The sequence below is a fragment of the Homo sapiens genome, chromosome 7 (assembly GCF_000001405.40).
Source record: "Homo sapiens chromosome 7, GRCh38.p14 Primary Assembly".
NCBI lineage: Eukaryota > Metazoa > Chordata > Mammalia > Primates > Hominidae > Homo > Homo sapiens.
Window position 1 is genome coordinate 25,173,224 of NC_000007.14, and position 25,292 is coordinate 25,198,515.

The 25,292-nt window shown below is 42.8% G+C and overlaps 1 protein-coding gene and 3 long non-coding RNA genes across 7 annotated transcripts in view, besides 3 other annotated features; 3 read left to right on the plus strand and 1 right to left on the minus strand.

The window, feature by feature from the left end:
* SPMIP4 (sperm microtubule inner protein 4) overlaps positions 1-7,131 on the minus strand; it is a 54,583-nt gene extending 47,452 nt beyond the window's left edge. For 2 of the 4 annotated variants that reach the window (XM_047419891.1, NM_138811.4), the window contains exons 1-2: positions 6,439-7,131; positions 5,952-6,109 (exon numbers count right to left, since the gene is read on the minus strand). In XM_047419891.1, coding sequence (XP_047275847.1) covers positions 5,952-6,085 — 134 coding nt within the window. In that variant the 5' untranslated portion in view covers positions 6,086-6,109; positions 6,439-7,131. The remainder of the gene's footprint in view (positions 1-5,951; positions 6,110-6,438) is intronic. The other 2 variants (NM_001371351.1, NM_001371352.1) reach the window with 2 other exon arrangements.
* Positions 1-25,292, plus strand: part of LOC124901603 (uncharacterized) — a 61,442-nt gene that overhangs the window by 19,206 nt on the left and 16,944 nt on the right. The window lies entirely within an intron of this gene.
* LOC124901602 (uncharacterized) lies at positions 2,591-4,408 on the plus strand. The gene is made up of 2 exons (XR_007060260.1): positions 2,591-2,674; positions 3,617-4,408. It is a non-coding gene; the product is annotated as an uncharacterized LOC124901602 (long non-coding RNA).
* Positions 6,637-6,916: a silencer, noted in NCBI's record as "silent region_18023". NCBI's record gives its function as "represses an Ori minimal core promoter by ATAC-STARR-seq in GM12878 lymphoblastoid cells {active_cell/tissue: GM12878}" and the evidence as "EXISTENCE:reporter gene assay evidence [ECO:0000049][PMID:35858748]".
* Positions 6,977-7,366: a silencer, noted in NCBI's record as "silent region_18024". NCBI's record gives its function as "represses an Ori minimal core promoter by ATAC-STARR-seq in GM12878 lymphoblastoid cells {active_cell/tissue: GM12878}" and the evidence as "EXISTENCE:reporter gene assay evidence [ECO:0000049][PMID:35858748]".
* LOC105375191 (uncharacterized) lies at positions 13,682-20,756 on the plus strand. Its single transcript, XR_927102.3, has 3 exons — positions 13,682-13,816; positions 15,441-15,500; positions 20,539-20,756. It is a non-coding gene; the product is annotated as an uncharacterized LOC105375191 (long non-coding RNA).
* Positions 15,111-15,612: an enhancer, noted in NCBI's record as "H3K4me1 hESC enhancer chr7:25227953-25228454 (GRCh37/hg19 assembly coordinates)". NCBI's record gives its function as "activates a minimal SCP1, AML or CMV promoter by ChIP-STARR-seq in naive H9 embryonic stem cells {active_cell/tissue: H9 hESC(naive)}" and the evidence as "EXISTENCE:reporter gene assay evidence [ECO:0000049][PMID:30033119]".

Consider the following 25,292-nt stretch of genomic DNA (forward strand, 5'->3'; position numbering starts at 1 on the left):
CACCTGTAATAATTGTTGAATAGAATGAAGAAGCAACACTCAGGACTATAAGTGGAATGTATTATCTTGTGAAGTCACTAGATTGAGAGTTGGCAAAGCATGGCCCATGGGCCAAATCCAACTCCCTGCCCGTTTTTGTAAACAAAAGTCTATTGGAATACAGCCATGACCATTCATTTATGGACTATATACATACGGTCTATGGCTGCTTTTGCCCCACAATGGCAGAGTTGAATAGTTGGACAGAGACCGTAAAGCCTACAATATTTACCATCTGGCTCTTTACAGAAAAAAAGTTTGCTAACCCCGCACTGGCTAGGCAAGGAGAGTCCTGGGCCCACTGATTTGGGGTGCTGCAGAAGGGATGCTGGCATTCAGCTCTCAGACCTCTACGTCCTCCCTAGCTGTCTGACAACGATCAACAGACACGATTTGGGGGACATGACAAGTGAAAAATATTTAAATGCATTTGATTAATGACAACCTAAGCTTTAATATCTAAGTTTGTAAAAGTTACATTCAAAACCTAAATGAGTCAATTTCTCAACATCTGACCCCCGTATATTACATCGTCCCCAGAAGATGAGCCGGTAGAAAATGCTAATCAATCATTTGGGCTGGCATCCACCTAAAGCTGGAAAGTTGCAGGAAATCATTTAAAATAAAAGACAATGCATAAATAAGTCATATTTCCCTCTTACTTTAAGGTATCATGTCTCCCTCCCCTTAGCCTTAATACTCACAGAATTGTAGAGAAGGAACCAAATTAAAATAAAAATTGACATTTTAGGATGTAATAATTTAGGATTTCATGATAGGATTTCATTATAGGCTCCCATTTGTTTCTGGATTCACTTCATTGCTTTCTGATTCTTAAACATTTTTAAAAAATGATAGTTATCTGCCAACTCCAAATGAGGGCTATGTTTTAATAATTTTAATGAAATTTTAAACCTTTCTCTTTCCCCCTCTCTCTCCGTCTCCCTTTCTCTCTCTCCCTCTTTTCCTCCCCCTCTCTCTCACTGTCTCTCTCACTCTCTCTCCATGTCTCTCTCCCTCTCTCTCCCTTTCTGCTAGCCCAGTAGTTCTCAATGTAAATAAAATACATCTCTATAACAAAGAGAATAATTATCAAATTATTGGTGCTACCATCTCTAGCGATAGAAAATTGTTTACTTGTTTTTGAAAAGGACACATTCCCTATAGATGAGCCAGTATTTCATTTTAAAGTCACTGTACAAGATTTTATGCATCAAACCCCAAATTCAGTAATTTAGCCAGTAACTACTAGGAGGCGTGACTAGAGAAAAGCTCGAGATAAACATGACCCGCATTTTTAGTTGGCAGATAACTATTATTTAAAAAAATGTTTTAAGAGTCGGACAACAGCAAAGTGAATCCAGAAACAAAATGGGAACTGATAATGAAATTCTATAATGAAATCCTATTATATAATGAAATCCTAAGCAATTCTCAAGGCACTTCCTTAATGGATATGTTTGTTTGCCCTGTGAGCTGAGAGAACTTGCTAGAAGTTAAGGAGAAGTCAGCTGAATGAAAAAGAGGATAGGAATCTTGATGATTTTGAGTAGCTGTTCCTGCCAGTTAAATTTTCAACAGAAGAAATGAGAAAAAATTACCACCTGTTTATATACTTAATATTTTTAATGGAGATCAAGCAAGTTTATATAAAATAGTGGCTAGCATAATTGTCCCAAAAAATCCACTTGAGTAAAGTAATTAAAGTGTAGCAACTAACTTGCTCTTGGTCATCAGGTAAGCCAGATCCATAGTCCTGGTTTTCTTATATTTTCAGTGCTGCTAGCCCAGTAGTTCTCAATGTAAGCTGAAAAACTAAAAAATGCAGATTCCCTTGCACCCCCTCAGACCTGGGGAGTCAGAATGTCCATATATAGAGGCAGCCTGGGAATCTGTTTTTCTAGAAAGCTCCTCAGGTGATTTTGAAGTACCCTGTCTGTAGACCAGTCCTGGGTAACAGGGGAGCTAGGCCGTGTCACCTATTTTTGTATTGTTTTATTTTGTTTTGATTTTTGAGAAAGAGTCTCGCTCTGTTGCCCAGTCTGGAGTGCTGTGGTGTGATCTTGGCATACTACAACCTCTGCCTCTAGGCTCAAGTGATCCTCCCACCTCAGCCTCCCAAGTAGCTGGGACCTACAGGTGTGAGCCACCACACCTGGCTAATTTTTGTATTCACCTCACCTATTGTGAAAAGAAAAAAAAAGTAGGCTGATGTGAGGAAATCGTTTTGCGTCACTGTTAAAACTGCCAAGTGAGTGCCATGATGGCTGCATCTAGGTTGTAGGTATGGCCTACATGATCTAAGTTGTACCTGGATACATCATGATATTGAAAAAGGGTGTCCCTTTAAGTACATCTGTGTTTAGAAAATTAAGCTGCTGAGTGCAAACGTATGCTAGGGCTCACGTTCACCCTTACCATTATGAAGGTAATCCTGAAAAACCAGGGGCTTTCTGTTTTGTATTGTTTTATTTTGCTGTTGAGATACCTTGTGATTCAAATTGGGAGCCACGGACCCTGCACTTGGTCTGAAGAAGTGAGGCTCAGCAATGATAGAACAGAGTTACCACCAGTATCCTGTTATCACCGTCCAGAGCCGTTCCATCACTAACACTGAGAGGAAAGACACTCTTTTGTAAGCTGTCTGGCTGCTTTTTAAGAGGGGGTTAAGAGGAGGGGTTCTGAGAACACATGATCATCCTGGTTTTCTTAATCTGGTGATTGTGAAAGGAAAGAATTCACGTGAAATAAAAGGGAAAGCAAGTTGTAGTTATTAGGAGCCAGGAGCATGGTTATACCTAGATAGAGCTTCAAATAATACCTTTTTGTAGTTTATAGTTGGCCATATATCGTGTTGAATTTTATAGTCAGTTAACAAAAAACGTGCTTCTCTTAAATTTCATGCCAGTTAAGGGTTTTGGAGCTGATCACTAACCAACTATAGGACCGTTTAGGTAGAGGGGATCAACATTTCAGTGAAAAGCCTTTGACAGTGCTTTTTGATGGTGCATTCAGATATGGCAGCCCTAAATTCTTGGATTCCTTTAGGCCAAATATAAAACCTCACATTGCTGTTTTTGAGCCAGGGACAACTGCCCATTCCCAGATCACACACAATCCACTAAGGGTTTTATTTGACTCAAGGGAAGCTCTGCCTAATGTGATAACCCTTGGAGTTGAACAGGAATTTAGGGCTGAAAACCACTCTTGTGAATCAGGTCAATGGTAGAGGAGTAGGGGCAGCAAGGACTGACCCAGAAGTGACAAGAGCTCCTTTTCCTCCAATACAAGAATATTTCTTTTCATTAAGTGAAAATAGCAATTGATTTAAAAAATGTTGAATATGATCTTTACATTTAAAAAAATTGGAGAGGACACATATTAAGATGTTAACACAGTGGTTATTATCTCTGGATAAAGGAAATATAGAGGGCTTCTTTCCTGTGCTTCATTTTCATAATTTTTCTGTTGGAAAAATAAAGAATTTGTTTTCCTTACAAATTTCTATGATTTCTACATTATGAGGAATGTGTGTTAGTTTTATAATTACGGAAAAATCATTCTTTTTCTTTATTAGTATAAAGAGCATGTTTGTAAACCGGAGAAGATCTGTGGAAGTCTGATCGAGATGGTGAAAGGCTAAGCGCAAGAAGAAAAAGGAGCTGAATCTGTGAGAATCAGTGTTTAGTCTGGCAAACAGAATTCTCACATGGGACAAGAGAATCTTCAGATCTTGAAGGGCTGCTAGCATGGGATGATGAATGACTATTCTGCATAGCTTCAGAGGGAAGAACCAGAATCAGCAGGCAGAAATTACAAGGGAAAAATTGTTCACATTAGAAAGAAAATGATCTAACAATCAGGAGCATTCAAAAATGGAATGGACTGCCTGGTGTGGAAGTGCTATCCTTTTTGGAAGAGTTTAAACTGAGGCTGGGTGACTTCCCGTCTGGTTTCCTAGAGAATTCTTAAATGATTGGGAGGCTGAGGCGGATGGATCACGAGGTCAGGAGATCGAGACCATCCTGGCCAACATAGTGAAACCCCATTTCTACTAAAAATACAAAAGAATTAGCTGGGCGAGGTGGTGTGTGCCTGTAGTCCCAGCTACTCAGGAGGCTGAGGCAGGAGAATTGCTTGAACCCAGGAGGCGGAGGTTGCAGTAAGCCGAGATTGTGCCACTGCACTCCAGCCTGGCAACAGAGTGAGACTCCGTCTAATAAAAAAAAAACAAAAAAACAAAAAACACAAAACAAGTAGACAACCACTCAGGCTATTTTTTCACTGTCCAGGTGTTTTGAGGTGTTTTTTCCTTTTCCTTTTCTCAAAATGATTCAAGTAAATACAATACAGGAAATGCTGACACTAAGATCTTGGCAAATTACTTGTGTGTATCTGTTATTTCATATGTAAAATGCAGATAACAGTAGTACTTATAGGGTTGTCATGAGGATTAAAAGAATTACTACATACAAAGCATTTGGTAGAGTGCTGACACACAGTAATCACTAGATAGGTGCAATTATTTTCATTGTAATTTTTTTTTTTAAACTTTTTTTCTAGGTTCAGGGGGACATATGCAGGTTCATTATACAGGTAAATTGCATGTTGCAGTGGTTCAGTGTACAAATTATTTTGTCACCCAGGTGATAAGCATAGTACCCAAGAGGTAGTTTTCTGATCCTCACCTTCCTCCCTCTCTCCACCCTCAAGTAGGCCTTGGTGTCTGTGGTTCCCTTCTTTGTCTCCATGTGTACTCAATGTTTAGCTCCCACTTATAAGTCAGAATAGGTGATATTTGGTTTTCTGTTCCCGTGTTAGTTTGCTTTAGAATAATGGCCTCCAGCTCCATCCACGTTGCTGCAAAGGACATGATCTCGTTTTTTTATGGCTGCATAGTATTCCATGGTGTATATGTACCATGTTTTCTTTATCCAGTCAACCACTGATGGTCATTTATGCTGATTCCATGTCTTTGCTATTGTGAATAGTGCTGTGATGAACATACTTGTGCATGTGTCTTTATGGTAGAACAACTTATATTCCTTTGATAGAACAACTTATAAGAACAACTTAGAATCCAATAATGGGATTGCTGGGTCAAATGGTAATTCTGTTTTGAGTTCTTTGAGAAATCACCAAACTGCTTTTCATAAATTAAATCATAATGTATAATTAATGTGTTACAGGGAATTTGGTGAAGCAAAAATTTACACAAGTATAAGCAGCAAATTCTGGGAGTATTTTTGGGCAGATGGTAGAAGGGCATGTTAGGGAACCAATACAGTACTATTTATAAAAGTCTTTGCTTACAACATATTAATTTCCCAATGAAGGAACGGACCATTCTAAGATTTTAGAATGTAGTGGATGAATTTGATGTGTGGCTTTTATAGTAGACAGCCACTTACTTCTCGAGTTCCTTACAGACACTTGAAGGTTCAGATAATTGCCACGTTTTGCCTTCCCTATTATATGATAAGCAGAAGAGCCCCGGCCCGGCGCAGTGGTCACGCCTGTAATCCCAGCACTTTGGGAGGCCGAGGTGGGTGGATCATTTGAGGTCAGGAGTTTGAGAACAGCCTGGCCAACATAGTGAAACCCTGTCTCTACTAAAAATGCAAAAATATTAGCTGGGCATGGTGGTGCATGCCTGTAATCCCAGCTACTCTGGAGGGTGAGGCAGGAGAATCACCTGAACCTGGGAGGCAGAGGTCCCAGTGAGCCGAGATCGCACCACTACACTCCAGCCTGGGCGACAGAGCGAGACACCGTCTCAAAAACAAACAAACAAACAAACAAACAAGAAACAGAAGAGCCCCAGAACAATAAATGTTTTTCCTCACATAATAAAATACACGAATACATTAAAACTGCTTTTTCTTGTTTGCTTTTTCTAGTTTTTGTTTTACCTGTCCTCTGAGGCAGTTGGGCGAGTAACCGTCTGGAGGGGGTTGTGCAATTCATTAGAGTAAAAGGTGTTGGACAGTATGTCAGCTCCTTCAAGCTCCCTGCAACAGTAGGGCCTGCCGTGAATGACTTCCATGCTTCTTGGCTAAAAAGGCACAACCTGGAAAAGAAAAGGAGGGCACATTTGGCTTGTCGAGTCAAGGCAGGCAGAAAACACATTTTACACTGCTAAATTGTTCAACCTGACGCTGCACAGACGTCACAGGCTTCCCTCTGCACTGAAAGCCGTCAAATCAGTAATAAATAGAGACCTAAATAAGTTCTATGGAAATAAATTTCAACTGAAACAAATCCACAAAGTGGACGGTGCCTCCAAGTAGTCACCAGAATGATCATCCAGTAGGTTCGTACCAGTCCGCTACTTTGTGGCCATCAACTGACATTCAATTCCTGCCTTAAATTTAACTATAACTATTCAAGAAAACTCACTTGACTTTTAGCCTGTGGTCTTTCCGAAAATTAGAGACTCTTCATTCAACAAAATAAGCGCTGTCCTAAAGCCTTCGGGGATTCTGGACAAGAATCCCTTTGCAGATGGTGGAGTCAGTAGTGCAGCACGAACGGGACCCTAAAGGGGATTCCCGGTTTCCAACTGCGTCGGGGAGAATCCCACCTCTCTCTCGGACTTGGGGGAAGGCCAGGAGCCGGCGTAGCTGGGACCAAGGGTGCCAGGGGTCGAGGCCGAGCCTCACGGGCTGTCACTGCCCTGCAAGCGGTGCCTCGGGGGTCTGGACATACCTGGGACATGAGCCTGGGGGCGCTGCGGGACCGCGCCTCCCCTCCCCTCCCCGCAGCTGGCGGCCTTCGCGGGCCGAGGAATTTTGAGGTCGTCCGCACCTACGGCCCGGTGGAGCTGGCAGGCAGGGGCGGGGGCGGGAGAAGGACGGCGGGCAGGCCGGGGTGGGGTGGGGCTGGGGGCGCTTGTGACGGTGGCCGTGACCGCGGCATTAGGTGATGCGTCCTTGAGGGGCTGGGGGCTTCCGGGCGGCGAGCGGGGCGCAGTAGGAGGCTCTTAGAGACCTCGGAGGAAACCAGCCCAGCGCTACGGGACTGGCAAGAATGCGAAGAGGAACCGAGAGTGAACGGAGTGCGAGGCGCCGGGTCGGAGGCGAGAGGGGCTCTTCCGCCTTGCGACCCCTGGCCCCGCCTCCCGGTCCCTTGCCCCGCCCCTCTCGGCTCACCGCCCTGCCTCCAGTCGGACCCCGCCTTGCCCCACCCGCGCCCCGCCCCCAGGCGCCCTCTAGCGGCGGCGGCGATGGCGATACCAGTTTCTTTTTCCAGGGCTACCAGGTCTGGAGCTGTCTCAGGGCCGGCCAGGGAGCTCTCTCATGTGGACTGGGCGGAGGAGGAAGAGCTCCGGTCCAGTGGAGTCCCTGGTGAGGTCGGAGCATCCGACCTGTCCTCCCTCCCCAGGTCACCTCGCAAAAATTGGGGACAGTGTGGCCAGATAGAGGGTGGAGTCTGCAGGATTCTGAAACTGCAGCCCCTGGCATGGCGCCCTAACAGAGTCTCTGCTCCTTCCCTGGTGGGTGCGGACATGGCAAAGTCCTTTACTTGCCTCGTCCCCAGGGCCTAGCCCCACCTTGATTACCTCAGTTTTCCCCAAAAGATACAAATGTGAGCCATGAATCTGCACCTACAGGGTCATGAGTTCCTGTGATGGCTGACAATAAGGGATGTCACCCCCCCCTCGCCACCTGCCACCCCATCAAGGAATGGGATGTGAGGAGGTTAGGTTGTGTGTATATGTGTGATATGGTTAGGCTTTGTGTCCCCACTCAAATCTCATCTTGAATTGTAATACCCATAATCCCCGCTTGTCAAAGGAGAGACCAGGTGGAAGTAATTGGATCATGGGGGCAGTTTCCCCCATGCTGTTCTCGTAATAGCGAGTGAATTCTCACGAGATCTGATGGTTTTATAAGAGGCTCTTCTCCCTTCTCCCAGCACTTTTCCTTCCTGCCCCCTTGTGGAGAAGGTAACTGCTTCTCCGTGGCCTTCTGCCATGATTGTAAGTTTCCTGAGGCCTCCGCAGCCATGTGAGATTGTGAGTCAACTAAACCTCCTTCGTTTATAAATTACCCAGTCTTGGGCAGTTCTTTACAGCATTGTGAGAAAAGACTAATACAGTGTGGGAGGCTAGAAATGAGCCTGCAGGAACCAGAAGGTGAGGGTGAGAATGACCACCTCTGAGAAGAAGGGCGTTGAAACTGTGTGCCAAAGAGTTAAAGAAAACAGTCATAGAAATTCTTGAGTTTACAGGATGGCAGATAAAAGAAACAAATTGCTGAAATGCTGAAATGCCTGGGCTTGTAGGTTAATAAAACTGGCTGAAATCCACTGGAACATATAAGGCCAACTAGAGTCTGCACAGATCCAGCTTGCTGACCTTACAGCTGAATTTCTACTGCCATGTTTCATACTAACTCCTCACTGAATTTGCACGTGGAACCCTTAGGTAGCATGAAGAAATAAGAGCACATGCGCAAGGACTTTCCAGACTTCCTCTTTCCTTCCACCAAGCACCTGCTAATCCCAGAATCCACACTCAAAACCATTTCTAATAAAATAATTGTCCTAAAGCCAGCACAGGGAGACAGATTTGAGCTGGACTTCCTATTTCTTTGTTGGTTGACATGCAATAAAAGTTTTTATTTTATCAAAAACCCAGTGTTATAGTATTGACTTCTAGTGCCTCGGGCAGCGAGCCTCCTTTGCTTGGTAACAGTATGATGGTGCCTTTGCTATTCTCTGCCTACTTTACAACTTTCTACTAACCAACCAGTGGGCATTCATTTTGTGCTGTGCCTTCTATGTGAGTGTTACCTGGAGTGGGGGAAGAAAGGTGTATTGAAGTAGGCACAGTGGTAATTTTGTAGTCTTGGTTTATTTCTTAGTTCCTGCACCTCTGCCGACCTTCCAGTAGTTACCACCCACTAAGCCTAGAGGAATAGATCCTGCTGGAGACAGAGTTGTGTATTAGGTGAAACTGGCTTTTATCTTTGACATCTTTATTTCCCCTCCAATTTCTGGTAGTTCATTGTAAGCTTTTGCCCCTTTTCTGCTCCTCTGTGTTCAGGATCTCCCATTAAATTCCTTGTCTCCCCAGCCCATTTCATGTCCCCAGTCTTCCAGTACTTTCTATACTTCACCTTTTTCTCATCCTCAACCTTAGTCCTATTTTCCCATGGCTTGATTCTTCCTGGGAGGAATAACTGAGCATGATAGATTTAATCAGAGGCATCTGATGAAGATGCATCACTAGCCATGTATGTACATGGATGGTAGTGACACCGGAGAAAGTGTGTCAACTCCAGGTTGAATGATCAGGATATGCCATGTGATAGCCTCCAGGTTCTAGGGGATTTGAAATTTTATTTTAGGTCAGATGAGTGTAAAAGGCAGATAAATGTAATTATTTTTATCTTTATCGTTTTTCAAATAAAATGTACCGGCAAGAAAAATTCATTGTCAGATCGTTGTAAAACAATTGTTTTCTTTGAAAATGCTTCTCCATCTGAAATTTTCAGGGATATCAGGATTGGGTCTATTTGTTTGACCAACACTCGTTACTCTTAGCTTTTGTGATTTAACTCACTCCATCTCAGCCAGGATGTGATCTCAACAACACAAAGTAGCCTCCTACCCAGGGATGCTCAAGTGACGAATTTCTTAGGTATAACATGGCCAGGGGGCCAGTAGCCTCAGATTGCCTTCTTTTGACTTCTCACATGTTGATCTTGTCACCACCTCATTTTGCTAGTAATCCTTCAAGCAGGGAAGATGAAATTTGGCAATGAAAATAATATATGCTTAGAATACTGTGGGTTGATGACAATTCCAAATCACAGTTAGACCTTTCACCTTCAGGTAAAGAATAAGTAGGAGGTAGATAATAACATAAAGCATGAATTACAGTCTATAACCTTTCTTTTAAGTCTGTTATAGAGACCAGTAAAATGAATGAAGAGACCAGGAACATGATTTTTTTTTTCTTTTTGAAACAGAGTCTCTGTTGCCCAGGCTGGAGTACAATGGTGTGATTTTGGCTCACTGCAACCTCCGCCTCCCCGGTTCAAACAATTCTCCTGCCTCAGCCTCCCAAGTAGTTGGGATTACGAGTGCTCGCCACCACGCCTGGCTAATTTTTTGTATTTTTAGTAGAGACGGGGTTTTGCCATATTGGCTAGGCTGGTCTCAGACTCCTGACCTTAGGTGATCCGTCTGCTTTGGCCTCCCAAAGTGCTGGGATTACAGGCGTGAGTCATGCACCCGGCCCAGTGAATATTTTTTACATGAAAAAACAATTTGGAGTCTGGTGCCTTGCTTAGAAGATGTGTTGGAAAGTGTCTCAGTAACGTTAAAATATGCATCTTTAAAAATTGAAAAACTTAAAGCCTTGTTGATTTCAGTATATGTATCTTCTTAGTAGGATGACAATTAAAAGTATGTATATTCTGCTGACTTTAAACTACAAATGAGTTAAATTACACTTTAATACTTTTTTGGTACTAAATAATTTAACCTAAGTTCAGTACTTTAAATTCTTCTCAAAACATATTTTCTTTCTTTCATAGTTGTTTATTATAAAAACGCAATCAGCTTTTTTGTGGGTGTCATTTCAATTTTTTTCTTGAAGAGGGTTATTTTTAAAGAGCATTGTAATCTCAACAGTCTTTATGGTTGTAGTCATGTCAACTATGATCAATTGAATAAGCCTAGAAATGTAATGTGCAGCACAAGGATTATAATATTCATAATATTGTATTGCATACTAAAATTTTTCTAAGAATGTAGATTTTAGATGTTCTCCTCCTCCAATAAAAAATTTACTGTGTGAAAAACAATAATAATTTTTTTTTTGCCTTGAGTAGCTAAGGAACTAGGTGGTCATTTAGTAGTGAACACTGAAGTGACGTTGATGCACACATTTATAAAATGTGCTATTTAGTAAACAGTTACCTAGAATGCATCAGGGGTTGTCCTAGCACCTACAATCTATGGGGACATGGAGCCATGGAGAGTCATAATCAGTGAGGTAAGTGCTCGACTGGGGCCAGCACTCTTGCTGTAGGGGTCCATGGTCACCTAACCAAGACTCTTGTGCTTCTGATATCATTCCCTTGGAAATGTCTGAAAAGCAATGTAAGGTTCTTCTATTTAGAAACATGATCATCAGGACCCTTTAGCGAGGTGACCCGGCCATGTGCCCTTGGTTACATGCAGTTGTTTGTCCTTGTGGCCTCCCTGGCATCTTTCCTTTTATCTTTCTTTGCATCTTCCTACATGGATATTCTAACATTTTGTCCCATGAATTTGAGTTCCTTCTGGGTAGCCTTTTTCTCTCTAATCTTAAACCTCTGCTCAGAAGACTCAGTGGTCAGTCTCTATTCCTCTGTCATGATTCAATGCTTTGAACTATGACCTATATACAGATGGCCCCATGTGCTATCCCTACTGCCTGGTTGAGTGAAGTTATGTAGAATATGTTTTCCACATATGTATTAAGTTCCACTACTTAAGTTTCTTCTTCACTGATCCACACACACAAATATGGATGAAACGTGTATTCGATAGAGAGGGTGGGCATGGCACTTCTAGATGCAACTGACAGGAAGACATGCTGTCCCCCGGGGGCTCCAGCTGATGAGGACAGTCCGGGAGCATCCTGTGGTGTCACATTCTGTACTCAGGGCATGGTGATACCTAGTCAGGGAGGGAAGATGCGGTAAGTACCCAGCATCTTCATCGCCTCCTCCCTCACCACTCGCTCTGTAACCCCAGCCACCGGGGACTCCTTCTCCATTTCCATAAACCTGACATTTCCAGAATGTCATGTCAACTGAATCATACAACAGGGAGCCCTTTGGGATTGGCTTTTCTTGCTCATCATAACTCTCTGGGGATGCATCCAGGGTGCGGCTGGGGTCAGTAGTTCCTTCCTTTTCGCTGCTGACTTGTGTTCCATGGTACAGATGTTCCACAATTTCTTTATTCATCCATGGGAAGAAATGAGGTTGTTTCCAGTTTTGTGATTATTATTATGAGTAACACTGTGGTACACATTTCTGGACAGTTTTTGTGTGAACATTAGTTTTCATTTTTCTGGCTCAAATTTGACTGCTGGGTCATATGGTACTTAGAAAATTATCACTTCCCCAGGTCTTTTCTTGAAACAAAATATTTAAGATAAATATTCTTTAAAGAGATAGGCAGCAAAGGTGGAAAACATTTTCTCTTTTTTTCATTGTGAAATTGTAAACATTCACAGTTGTATGTGGGCGTTTTTTGTAGGAAAATCAACCCATTGAAAGAGATAAAATACCCCTTTCCTCTCTTTTTCCTGTCTCTTACATCTCCCTTACCACTTCTGTCTTTTTAAAACACCTTGTAGATTCACCAGACCAGAGTACTTGGGTAGCAGTGCCAAGATCAAGCACAGTGATTGCCATAAGTAACAGGAGTTCACGAATCAGCTCACCATGAAGAAACTGCCCATTGTAGACTGTTCCTATCTCAAAATAGTTGGCTTTCCAGAAAGCCAACTCTAGTGGCAGACTCGGTTTTTAGCCCACAGTACAACTTGCAGCCTCTTGGTTTGGTGTGCAGAGTTGTTTTTTTTTTTTTTTTTTTTGAGACACAGTCTCACTCTGTCACCCAGGCTGGAGTACAGTGGCACAATCCGGCTCACTGCAACTTTTGCCTCCTGGGTTCAAGCGATTTTTCTGCCTCAGCCTCCTGAGTAGCTGGAATTGCAGACGTGCATCACCACACCCGGCAAATTTTTGTATTATTAGAGACGGGGTTTGCCATGTTGGCCAGGCTGGTCTTGAACTCCTGACTTCTGGTGACCTGCCTGCCTCGGCCTCCCAAAGTGCTGGAATTACAGGCGTGAGCCACCACGCCTGGCCAACATTTTTAATAATTGCGGCAAGTCAGCAAGAACACAGAGGAAACAAGAGGGTGTGAGTGAATTGTCCTTCTGTCTGTGCTGTGGTAAACAAAAGCAGTGGCCTCACAGTGAAAGTAGGATGTGAGCTACTCTTCTAGGGGAGGGGAGTGGTTGTGAGAGAGTGGTTGTGTTTTTATTACTTCTACCCAAATTCCTCCAGCTACTCCCTCCTCAGGTTTTCTGTTGTTCTTTTACTTTAGAACAAAGGCCCTCAGCATTAGGATCCAGTACAGGAGTTGGCAAGCTCTTTCTCCAAAGGCCCAGATAGTGAAGGTGCCAGGCTCCACGGGCCACATGCGATCATACAGTCTCTGTTGCATGTTCTTCTTTCATTTTACAACTCTTTAAATGTGGAAAGCACCCATTCCTAGCTCACTGGCTGGAATGCGTGACTCCCGATCTAGGCAAAAGACTGTCTTCTGTCTGGTGAAAGAAACAAGTTGTTCATTTATTCTGCCACGAGTCATGGGTCTTTGTTTGGTTGTCTATGCTTTGCTGTGTTTGCTGTGAGATTACTTTTTGTATCCTTGGTGTTACACGGAACAATCCCATCATTTGAAGACTTGACTGGAACCCTGTAAATGAGGACTTGTATGGATTACCATTGTGTTATTGAATCTGTAATTCCATGTGTAGCTAAAAGGCAATTCAGTAAAATACAATGAGATACACAGGCACATGTTATCGGAGGAAGACCCTGAAGCCTCCAGTGACATTTCTGGTCTTCTTTCCTCTTCTCTCTGCCTTTTTCCTATTTCTGCAGTGATTTGAACACTCAGCCAAGCTGCAGCGGACAATCACCACGTACATGTTCCTTGCCCTGGAGCTGGACATGACCCCTTTCATGGCCTCCAGGTAGGCGGGGGTGTTGGCCTGTTCTGTGTCCAGAGGGACTGTGATCAGGACAGGAACCCAGCTCGGAGCTCCTGTGATAAGATGACTGTTGATATTAATATAAACCCCACCTTCCAAAAACCTATTTATCCTAATCCTAAGATAAGACACATTTTAATGAGTTTTTTTTTCCAGGTACACTGTTTTTGCTTTGAATGTTTCTCTAACAATTTTGAATCCACTTTCAAACTGGCAAAGTCATCAAGGTGGGATCACAGCGAGAAGGCAGAGCTTTAATTGGTGGAACAGGTGTTGAAGTACAGACAGACATCGTTGCTTTTGCAGTTGTAGATTGCATTTTCCTTTTCAAATATGTAATATCGTGGGGCCCTTGGAATTTAAGCCTCCAGAATACCATGCTGTTTACTAATGTGTGAGACACATATGAGTTTCCTATGGAACTGTGACAAACAACCAAAAACTTGGAAGCTTAGAACCACAGAAATTAATTTTCTCACAGTTCTAGAGGTTGGGAATCTGAAATCAAGGGGTTGGCAGGGCCCCACTTCCTACAAAGGGTCTAGGGGGATTCCATTCCTCACAGCCTCCAGCTGCTGGTGTTTCCATATGTTCCTTCTGTGGCCGTGTCCCTTCCCTGGCTTCCAGGTCACACAGCCGGCTCCCCCGAGTGTGTGTCCAATTTCCCTCTGCTTCTCTGTCAGAAACAGTGGTCATTGGATTCGGGGCCTAGGCAGATCATTCCAGGAGTGTCTCATCTCGATATCCTTACCTTGATTCCATCTGCAAATACCGTTTTCACAAATGAGGTCCCAGTCTCACGTTCTGAGGGTTGAGATGCGGATGTTATGATTTGGAGGATGTTATTTTTTAGAGGGCCACCGTCCCAGTGCCAGCACTGTAAAAAGCATGTTGCCTTTTGTTAGTTATCAGCCTCTTCCTGGTGTCCTTTCTCATGGCTGTCCCACCCATCTTGTGGCACACAGATGTCCTCTTGAATAACACAAGATCACCAGAGTCAGAGCTCTGTGTTGTCAGCCTGACCACGACGTCACATACCGAGGGAGGTGACAGTACTGTTGCTAAGGTCAGGGTCTCAAAGATCTTGTGTTTTCGGCCAACCACAGCCATGGGAAAACACGGCAATAACGCGTGGGACTTCCTGTTCCCAGCACCCGCATCTCCCCCATCTCACCAGGAGAGGTGCTGGTGGAGAAATAATGAGCAGCAATCTTTGCCCCTTTTGAGGAAGCAGTTGTCTAGGTTGTGGAATGGATTTGACTTACCCTTTTCAAATGAACCCTTTACATGTGGGAGGAAGAGTGCCTTCACCATCTCTGTGTCACACACCAAAGTCACATTTGTCCCAGATCCAATTCCCATCACCAGGCCCATTCAGGACCCAAGTTGGAAGGGCCAGGGTCCAGGCCAGGTGACTCTGGGACCCAGGTGGGCTCTGTCTCGGTATCCTCACAAAACGTGGGGTGATATTTACCTGAAACATAAAGTGCACCCCAGTGCAGTGTCTGCATGGTCGGGCCCGGATAAGTGTTGGTATCATGAGAGCCTTGTGTCTCTGTGTCTGATGATTTTAAATGATGCTGAATTCTGCTGTTGTTTGTTATAGCAAAGAGAGCGGGATGAATGGACAGTCCCAGCAGCCCATGGACAGTCTCAATAACAACAAGTAAGTGGTGCTCAGCGGTGCAGGTGTCAGGGGCCTGTGGCGGAGAGCCAAGGGTGGGCTCCTGTCTGCCCTGCAGGGCGCCCAGCAGAGCTCCTGCCACTGACCAGCTTCCTGCCTGGCTGTCTGCGGCTCTGCTAGGAGAGGCTGCTCCATGCGGCGCCACAGATGCTCCCTCCTGTTGGAGGAGCCCATCTCAACTCCTGGGTGCTGGGAGAAGGGAGGTTCCATCTGGAAAGCTCAGTGTCCATTCTTCTTGCCTTGTTTTGGACTAAGCTCATGCACTAGGCCCCACCTGTGGGGTCAGGATAGACCACATGGATCGGGAGGCTTCAGGAACTGTGCTGAAGATGGATCAGGTGACGGTTGTGCTCTGGGTGGGAGGAACAAAACAATGGCCTCCCAGAATTTTGTTTAAAAATATTCCCCCTTTTTGGTCAGGTTCTCACTTAGGTAAGAGTGTGACCAAAACTTAGGGCCTTCGCGCTACTCTCAGTTACCATCATTTTGGGTTTCTGGTCTCAGCACGTCATTGATAGGTTGCGGTGTCCTCAAGGTTGCATATTTCTTTCAGCTCTTGTCATTCTGGTTGAAGGGAGACCATGTGATGTTCTAGAGACGGCTGCATGCAAGCATTTAAAACCTTCGAGACAATACAGTGCACAAGGGAGACTATTCTTATGACTATTGGGAGGATAAAACAAAGAGTTTGCAGTTTGCTCCTTACCCAAGGTCCCCATAAGTCAAACATCCTAAAATCAAATAGAGCAAAGAATGAGCTAGATAAAGAGTCTACTCACTTAACAAGTAGTCTCTTTGTTAATCCCCTACCACTGAATTTCTATAATTTTCACCTGATGTATTTTTCCATAGGCCACAAGTGCCAGCAGTGGCACAGATACTTCTTGTTCTGCCAATTCTATCATAACTTACACAAGAGAATTTAAAGTTTCTGTGTCCTTACCTTTATAATTTGCTACAGAGTCTATCACGAGGGATACATTTCTAATCATTGCTTTTTTTACTTTAAACCATGGAAAAAGGGCCTGACAAATGATGCCCTTCTAGAAGAGTGAAGACCTCCTGGCAGTGTACTTTTTAACCCATGATGTGGGTTAAAAGGAATGAACCAATGTTTTGTTCATAACTGATTACGAGGCAATGTATGTACCATTAAAGTTTTGTACCTACATTGGGTCTTCATCTTTTATCTATCAAAGTATAAGTTTATCCATGTATAAGGCTGGCTGTAAACTTCTTCACAAATAAAAGTATACCCCACAAGTGCACATAACAGACTGACCCCCTAACCACTTCTATTGTTTATAGAAGCATAAGCAGGAAAAAATATTCAAAGATTAGAGTTTCATGATAATAGAAGTCTTAATCTGTGAACATGGAAAAAGCTGTTCACATCAAGATGCCATCTTCTTCTGGGGAGAAACTTTCCTGGCTAGTTTTACCTTAAGGATTTCAATGGGTGTAGAGTTCCAAGAGTGATGAGGGACCTTTCTCAGTTGTGAGATTATGAACCCAAAGTTCAAGGTCCTGAAATTTTGTAATAGTGTGGATGGCAAGGACAGTTTTTCTTTGACGTTCTCAGAAGATCCAAACCATAAAAAGTTTTCTTTACCTGGTGAAACTACACTGTAGCATAATAATCTGCTGTGATAACATCAGCCCTCTGGCATGGGAAAGCTTTTTTTTTCTTTTTTTGGAAACAGAGTCTTGCTGTGTCACCCAGGCTGGAGTGCAATGGTACGATCTCGGCTCACTGCAACCTCTGCCTCCTAGGTTCAAGTGATTCTCCTGCCTCATCCTTCTGAGTAGCTGGGATTACAGGCACCCGCCACTATGGCTGGCTAACTTTTTGTATTTTTAGTAGAGGCAGTATTTCGCCATTTTGGCCAGGCTGGTCTCGAACTCCTGACCTCAGGCGATCCACCTGCCTCAGCCTCCCAAAGTGCTGGGATTACAGGCATGAGCCACCGTGCCTGGCCAGGAAAGCTTTTATACAATCAGAAAACATGCACTGAAAATAACAGTTGCGTGAAATCCCTTTACGAAATGTTCAAATGGCCCACCAGGTGACCAAATGTACCTGAAGCTTTAATTGTTTTCCCATGAATATAGAGCCAAACATTGGTTATAAACTATTTTAGTAATTTGTAAGTTACTACATGAATGTATTCACTTTGGATTATTTTATCTTTTCCATGATGAGTCATGGAATGCAGAACTTTTAATAATAAAAACTTTAAGGACTCAAGAAGGACAAGGTGGTCATCCTGGTTCTCCATGAGTCCATGCTTATTAACATTAGATGTATATCCTCTCGAATACCAGTAGTTTTTCTAAATTAGGTGCATAGCACTGACAACTGATGAGTTATCAAAGGTAATTTGACTTAGACTGTGAAGTTTATTCAAATTGTATATCTAAACAATTTCAGTATCAGCTGGTTTAACATGAGAATCTGACTTTTCTTGGCATTTAATTTTTTTTTGTTCTACTTGGGTTAGTAGCTTTATACAAGGAAATTTGGTTATTTCTGTGGTTTACAGTAACTTAACATAATAACCATAATTATAATTGATAGCATATACTTACACATTAGAATTTTAGAAATCCCATACAATTTTGGAATATATATTAGTATTATTTACAAAAACATAACCTAAAGAAGATTGAACATCATTTTGGCAATCCCATATACCTAAACATGTCAAATAATCTCGTTTACTTCTTTTCCAGATGTTTTCAAGGGCCCTCTGATCAATTCAAAAAGCTAGGCATCAGGAAAGAAAATTTTAAAACTGAAGTTTGATTTTGGAATTCCAGATTACCATAAACTATTTATTTTGCCAAAATGATAACTCAGAAATTTTAAAGAAGCGAAAACCTTTTATAATCTTTTACAAAAAAAAATTCTTCTGTTCTTACACACCTTGCATGTAAAACTGTTTCTAGTAGTCTTAATTACATGTTATAATGGTGACTCTCAGCAATTTTAATTTTAATGTAAAACCTGGTAAGTTATGTTCTGATAAGGTTTGACTATTTCCAGCATTAGCCAGGGGTGCGGCCACCTCCACATGTCCTCAGGCCTTACCTGGTGGAAAGCAGACAAGTTAAACAACTTTCAAAAGCTAAAGGAGCAGTTTATGACCTTAAAGCATTTAGCAAACCTGAAATTTGAGCATAACTTAGGCCACATGTTTACATTTTGAAGACATTTGTATTTTACCAATAATCTTTAAGACTGTCTTTATTTCCCAAAGATTACACAAGTCACATGAACTAAATAAAAGGCATTACATTTTTCACTTTTTTGACAAAATATTTGATTTAAGCTCTTATTATTATTAAACCAATTAATTAAAGCTCTTTTGTATCAATTAAAACTTTACAGAGGAGATAAACAGTGACTTTTACTATTTATTTAACCAGTTTGTACAGAGAGAAAGAGGCCAGTGACTGGCTGGTAAGAAATTCTTACCCTTTTGCCAGCTTGCCACGTTTCTGGGTTCTCTCTCCCTGACCGGCCCTAGTTGACCCCGCTTGACTGTATGCAAACAAACACATTGCCATGAATTAGGAATATTCACAAATAGTTTACAAATTTTGGAGAAATTAGGCAGAGAGAGAGAGAAATGTGACTCAAATTCTATTTATTAGAGTATACTCAACACACTTAAAGTATCAGGGAGCCTAGAATCCAAAAAACTAGTTTTGGATAGAAAGCTGGTGTGCTCCATTAACTCCTGTGGCCCAACAAAGGCAGTGTAGAAATTCCAGATAAATGGAACAAATAATGATTTGCTAGAAATGCATAGGAAACAAAATAAGTATTCACAGAACCAAGTAAAAGCCTTCCACTAGGAACTAAAAAAAAAAAATCATGGTTTTATATATATGCATACACATATACATACACACAAAGCTAGAGGAGAATAAACAGCAAATGAATGAAAACTAGAAGCAGAAACAAAAAACAGGAGACCAACCCTAAATTTTCCTACTCAATATACCTTGGAGGCTACAGTGTTACTGATCCCCAAAACCCACATATTACATATTTTATTCCTGATACACAATTTAATATCCTTAAGTTCATCAATATTATTATAAATTCTGTGCAATTAAGAAATTCACTTTAGGCACATGACCAGTAAGTACTCTAGCACTATCCAAGCAAAACAGTAAACAGAGTGAAGCAATGCAAGCATGTATGTGAAATTTGGCTCCACACTAAACCCAGCTTCATACTTAACTATATTTAAAAAAGAATTGCCAAACTGCTGATTCATTTCTTTACAATACTTCTTATTTTACTTTAATCAAGACTTGGCTTTAACAATGAAAATGTTAATTAGCCAAATGTCTCCATTTCTCTATCAGGTTTTAAAGAATATTTTATTATTTAAATTTTTTTCATCTTTCTCCCCTACTTAATTATTCCTTACTACATTGTTTCATAAATAACCTTTTCAAATCTGTAATTTAAGCTAACTTTCAGATAACTTCTGAATTAGACAAAATTATTCTTTTTTTCACTAATAACATAACCCTTTCTAGCATATTTTGTATACAGAAGTATGTGTTAACTGGAATTTTTATTCTTAGTAACCTAAAACTTTAGTGAAACCCTAAAAAGCAAGAAATCCTGAACTATCAGATATGGACATTTACAGATAAAAACAACTCCACAACCTTTTTCCAGAGTGTTTCTGGGAGGGATGGTCCCCCTGGGTCTTCTCCAGGACCAAGGCCCCAGAGTTCTCTTGTTCTTTTTCAGTGACCCAGGAAAACGAAGCCCCCTCCTGTATTGACAGCTGGGAATTGTGGAGTCTGCCATCCCTCCTCTTGAGATGGGGTCTCCACTAGCACAGAGGCTGCTTTGGAGTCAATAGATCATTTTTTCCCCAAACCAAACACCCTCTTTGCTTGGCTGGTGTTGTTCCTAAGGCAGCTTCACTGGTGAGAGTGAGTGAGGATTGAAGTAGAATAGAGCAGTCACCAGATGTCTTGCTTCCTACAGAAAACTGGATATCTTTGTGGTCCCTGAATGATCCCAGGAGGCTGAACCTATAAAGACGTCTGGTCCCTGACCCCTTCTGCCTCCAGGTGCCCAGAACAGCCTATCGTGGGCCTTCACCCTTGGCAGGTGGATGCCGTTGTCTCAGCTAAGGTTGAGAACTACCAACCTGGGTAATTTGAGCAAAATATTGAGGACCAAATAAATATGGCTGGGAGAAATCTCATCTTCATCCATCTCCTTTATTCCAAAAATAAATTTTGAGAAGCTTCCAAAATCATATGTAATATGGTAAGATGTTTGAACTTTTATGGGATCTGGGAGGGGGAAACCTTGGAAAGAGGGGAGGGCTCTCAGAGAGGGTAAACTTTGAACTGAGGATTGCAGGATAAGGAACATTCCCTCTGACCTGAGTGAGAATGGAGGAAATAGCATTCCTGGCAGAGGGAAAAGCCAGGCAAAGCCCTCAGGGCAGGAATGAGAAGTGGAGGACTTCTCTGAGAATGAGCTTCATATGGCCTGGGACAGTGGGTCCTGGAGAGTCAGGAGGGCTGAGGTTGAGAGGACACCAGGGCCAGGCCGTGTGGAGCTTGAAAGCCCCCCGCACCAAATGGAGATTTCATTCTGACTGTGTTCAGCATGGTTTTCAGCAATGAGGAGGTGATCTGACTGATGTTTGCAAACATTGCTCTGGCTTCCAGTTGCCGACTAGGAAGTAGAAAATCAGAATGGGTCTCACTCCTCTGGTAACAGTAAAACAACAGATAATCTACAAGATCATACCTTTCCCTGAACCCATCAGAAGCTGAAGTCACAGGGCAAACATTCAGCCTGAGGTTGAAGGAAGGCAGGAGCCTCTGAGAAGAGGAGGTGTGAACATGGCTGTCTGTGGCCAAGCGTGAGAAGGAGACAGCCCTGCCACACAGGTGGGGAAGACTGGCTCAGTCGATGCCTTTAAAGAATCACTGAAGGCTGTGTTTGAGTCAGCATGAAAGTGTGGACCTCCTGGGATCTTTGGACAAGCAGAGTTCACACTCTCTTGCAGGTGCTTCTCTATAGAAGGCCACTGAGCCCCACTCACACATGAATGTATTGGGCACAGAGTGGGAGACCAGATAGAGCCTCCCACAACAGTGCCAGCTTGGGGCAGGGGAGCAGCTGCCACTGCAGGAAATGCACAAAGCTCTTCCAGACTCTTCTTCCGGAACAAACAAAAGCCATACCTTTTGGGGAAAGGGCAGAAAACCCTGCTGACCTCAGGCTGCAGGAAAATCCCACTGAGGTTGGTGGTGTGAAAGGAAAATAAATCTTGGTGCCCCAGAATCACTAAGCTAAAAGGAAAAGTCAAGCTGGGAACTGCTTAGGGCAAACCTGCCTCCCATTCTGTTCAAAGTCACCCCTCTGCTCACTGACATGAATGCATATCTGATTGCCTTCTTTGGAGAGGCTAACCATAAACTCAAAAGAATGCAACCATTTGTCTCTTATATACCTATGACCTGGAAGGCCCCTCCCTGCTTCGAGTTGTCCCATCTTCACCTTGAATTGACCCACCTTTCCAGACTGAACCAATGTACCTCTTACACATATTGACTGATGTCTCAAGTCTCCCTAAAATGTGTAAAACCAAGGGGTGTCCCTACCACCTTGGGCACCTGTCATCAGAACCTCCTGAGGCTGTGTCATGGGTGCTTGTCTGCAACCTTGGCAAAATAAACTTTCTAAATTAACTGAGACCTGTCTCAGATATTTGGAGTTCATATTGGGAAGGAAAAGAAAAATGCTCATGGCAATTGCAGGCAGGAAATTGTCCCAGTCCATTAGAGTGCCCCTTGTCCTGGGGAAGAAAGGATGGATAAAAAAGCCTCATTCTCTGGGCCCTGGAACACTGGGCCTGCCTCACACTGAGTCTGGAACAAAACGACAGACAGTGGCCCTGACCCCACACCAGGTCAACAAGCACCAAGTAACAAGTAATAGCAGTCTACAGCAAGGGACAGCCAAAAAATGTGGATGGGCACACGGGGAAGGTGTAAATCTGAGGGTGGAGCATGAATATTGTGAGCCCAGCCCTTACCCAGGGACGCAGTAGCACTAGGGGGATTTGAAGCCAGTGGTGCATTGAACTAAAATGGCAACAGCAAAACCCAGACCCAGTTGAACTCATCACTAGATCAACTCAACCCCTCATACCAGCAGGTAGTAGAAGGAAAGGCATGCCCATTTCCGGGCATAAATACTTCTTGCTTCAGTCTCTACTGTCTTACACATGTCAAACATTCAATCAAAGATCACAGGACACACAAGAGCAACTGAAAACAACCCACTGTCAGGGGAAAAATCAATCAACAGAAACAGACTCAGGTGGACCACATGCATGACTAGATGGGGAATGTCAACAGAGAGATGGAAGCTGTAAGGAAGAGTCTAATGGGAATGCCAGAAGAAAAAAAAGTGATGGTAGCAGAGATGAAGTATGCATTTGACAGGACTATCAGTAGACTCAACCCTGTAAGAATTAAAGAAAGAGGAAAGAAACACAAAAGGTGGCTTGGCAGTTAAGGACAGGTTTATTTTAGAGAAAACGAACCTGAGAGGGGCTTTTGGCTGAGTTAGGGTAGAGGCACATTTTTTTACAGACTAAGAGTGTTTAAGGATTTAGGGTAAGAGAGTTTGTTGGAGGCTTGGACACTTTTGTGTTTTTTTGTTGTGTTTATTTGGGAGGGAGAGTTGTGTGTTTGTTTCCACACTTTTTTTTTTTTTTTTTTTTTTTTGCAGCTGCAGGCATACCCCCTGAGTTTGCATTTAGCTTCCCTATCTTAGTGCACCCGAAGGGAAAGGAATGTGCTTATTAAGGCCCACTGTTTTACTGGGCCTATTGTATGAGAGTGAAGTTTGGCAGTTACCCAAGAGACTTTCCCCTACTTTCCTCTGTGCCGGGGCTGTGTTATCTGTGTTTTACTGTTTGCTCTTTCTGGCTGATTGTAGTTAGAAGAGAAATGATTTCCTTGAAATGCATGAGGCTAGAAAGGGAGCTGGGATTTAAAGTGACGGTGTTTGTCTGAGATGATGGTGCTCCTGCTCTGTCAAACACAACTGAAGAACAAAGCAGTGAACGTGAAAGTTGATTGAAATTACCTAAACTGTGACCGAGTGAGACCCTGTCTCAAAACAATAAATAAACAAATAACCTAAACTGAGACACAAAGAAAAGAGTGAAAACAAAACAAAACAAAAAAATAGGGCACCAAAGCTGTGGGACAACATAAACAGTTTGAAGAGATGATGGCCAATAGTTTTTTATTTTTTTTTTGGTGACAGAGTTTTGCGCTTGTCGCCTAGGCTGGAGTGTAATGGCATGACCTCTGCTCACTGCATCACTGTAACCTCCTTCTCCCGGGTTCAAGTGATTCTCCTGCCTCAGCCTCCTGAGCCACCACACCTGGCTAATTTTTGTATTTTTAGTAGAGACAGGGTTTCCCCATGTTGACCAGGCTGGTTTTGAACTCCTGGCCTCAAGTGATCCCCCTGCCTCGGCCTCCCAAAGTGCTGGGATTGTAAGTGTGAGCTACCGTGCCCGGCCACCAAGTCAGCTCAATTTCTTTACTTATCTTGTCATGGATCTGTATTTATTACTGGACAGAGACCACAATTTGAATAGCAGTGATCTGAGGACAGTGTTTGAGAGCTATGGGGGAAATTCTTTTGACAATACTCAGCTTGGATAATTTTTTTGCTCTCTTGAAGTTAAAGCTGTCTGTAAAATTCTTCTCCTAATAACAATAATGTATAGAAAAAACATACATATGTATATGTATACATATAAAGGATGATTTTAAGCTGTTGTGGATCACCAGTATTTGATCTTTGTGTGAATTGATGTGATGGCAAATGATGACAACCATGGTTGAACCGAGGCTGTGAAGTGCCAGGCAGTTGGTGTTTACTCTTTCAAGACTGGTTTCCAGACTGAGAGACACAGAACTCTGTATTAACCTCAGGGACACTTCAGTGTATTCATCCAAGAGTTTGTCATCTATGTCACAAACTCCATGTTTAACTATCATTCTGGCTGAAAAGAGAGAGAAGAAAGTCTCTGCATGGAGTCAGGATAGACAAGTTCATGCTGCAGGAACATGTAGTCCCAAATCTAAGTGGCCTAAAATCCCAGTGGGTTGTCTCCCCTTGTTCTCTTTAAACCAAGACAGCAAGGGGCTGTGTATTGTCATATTGTGTCATTCAGGGCCCAGGTTGGTGGGGAGTCCACTGTCTCCTAACTCTGTCTTCTCAATATGAGGCTTCAGGGTTTGTATCAGCAGAAGAAGGGAGCATGGGTTATTAAGCATCGGTTCTTAACCGCTTTGACTCATAAGTAATTCACATCAGTTTCTTCATAATTCAGCAGCCAAAGGAAATTAGGGGGCCATGCATAAAATTAACAAGCTGGGAAGTGTAATGTTCCTGTGTCCTGGGAATAGAGGCAATTGGAGGTGTTCGTGAGTTCTAGAAATGTCAGTCAGTATTCTTTTACTGCTCTGCCTACCTCTAAGTTTTATACTCATCCTGTTATTCTTACACTGCCACCAGGGAGATTTTTCTAAAATGCGAATCTGTCATGAATCTTGCTTGAAATCCACCATGGATCCCTGTTTACAGAATGAAAGCAGAATTCATAACTTAAAAAAATTCCTTCAGAATCAGATCTGTCTTCATCAGCCCTGTCCCACCCACAGCCCACTCTCCAGTTCTATTGAACT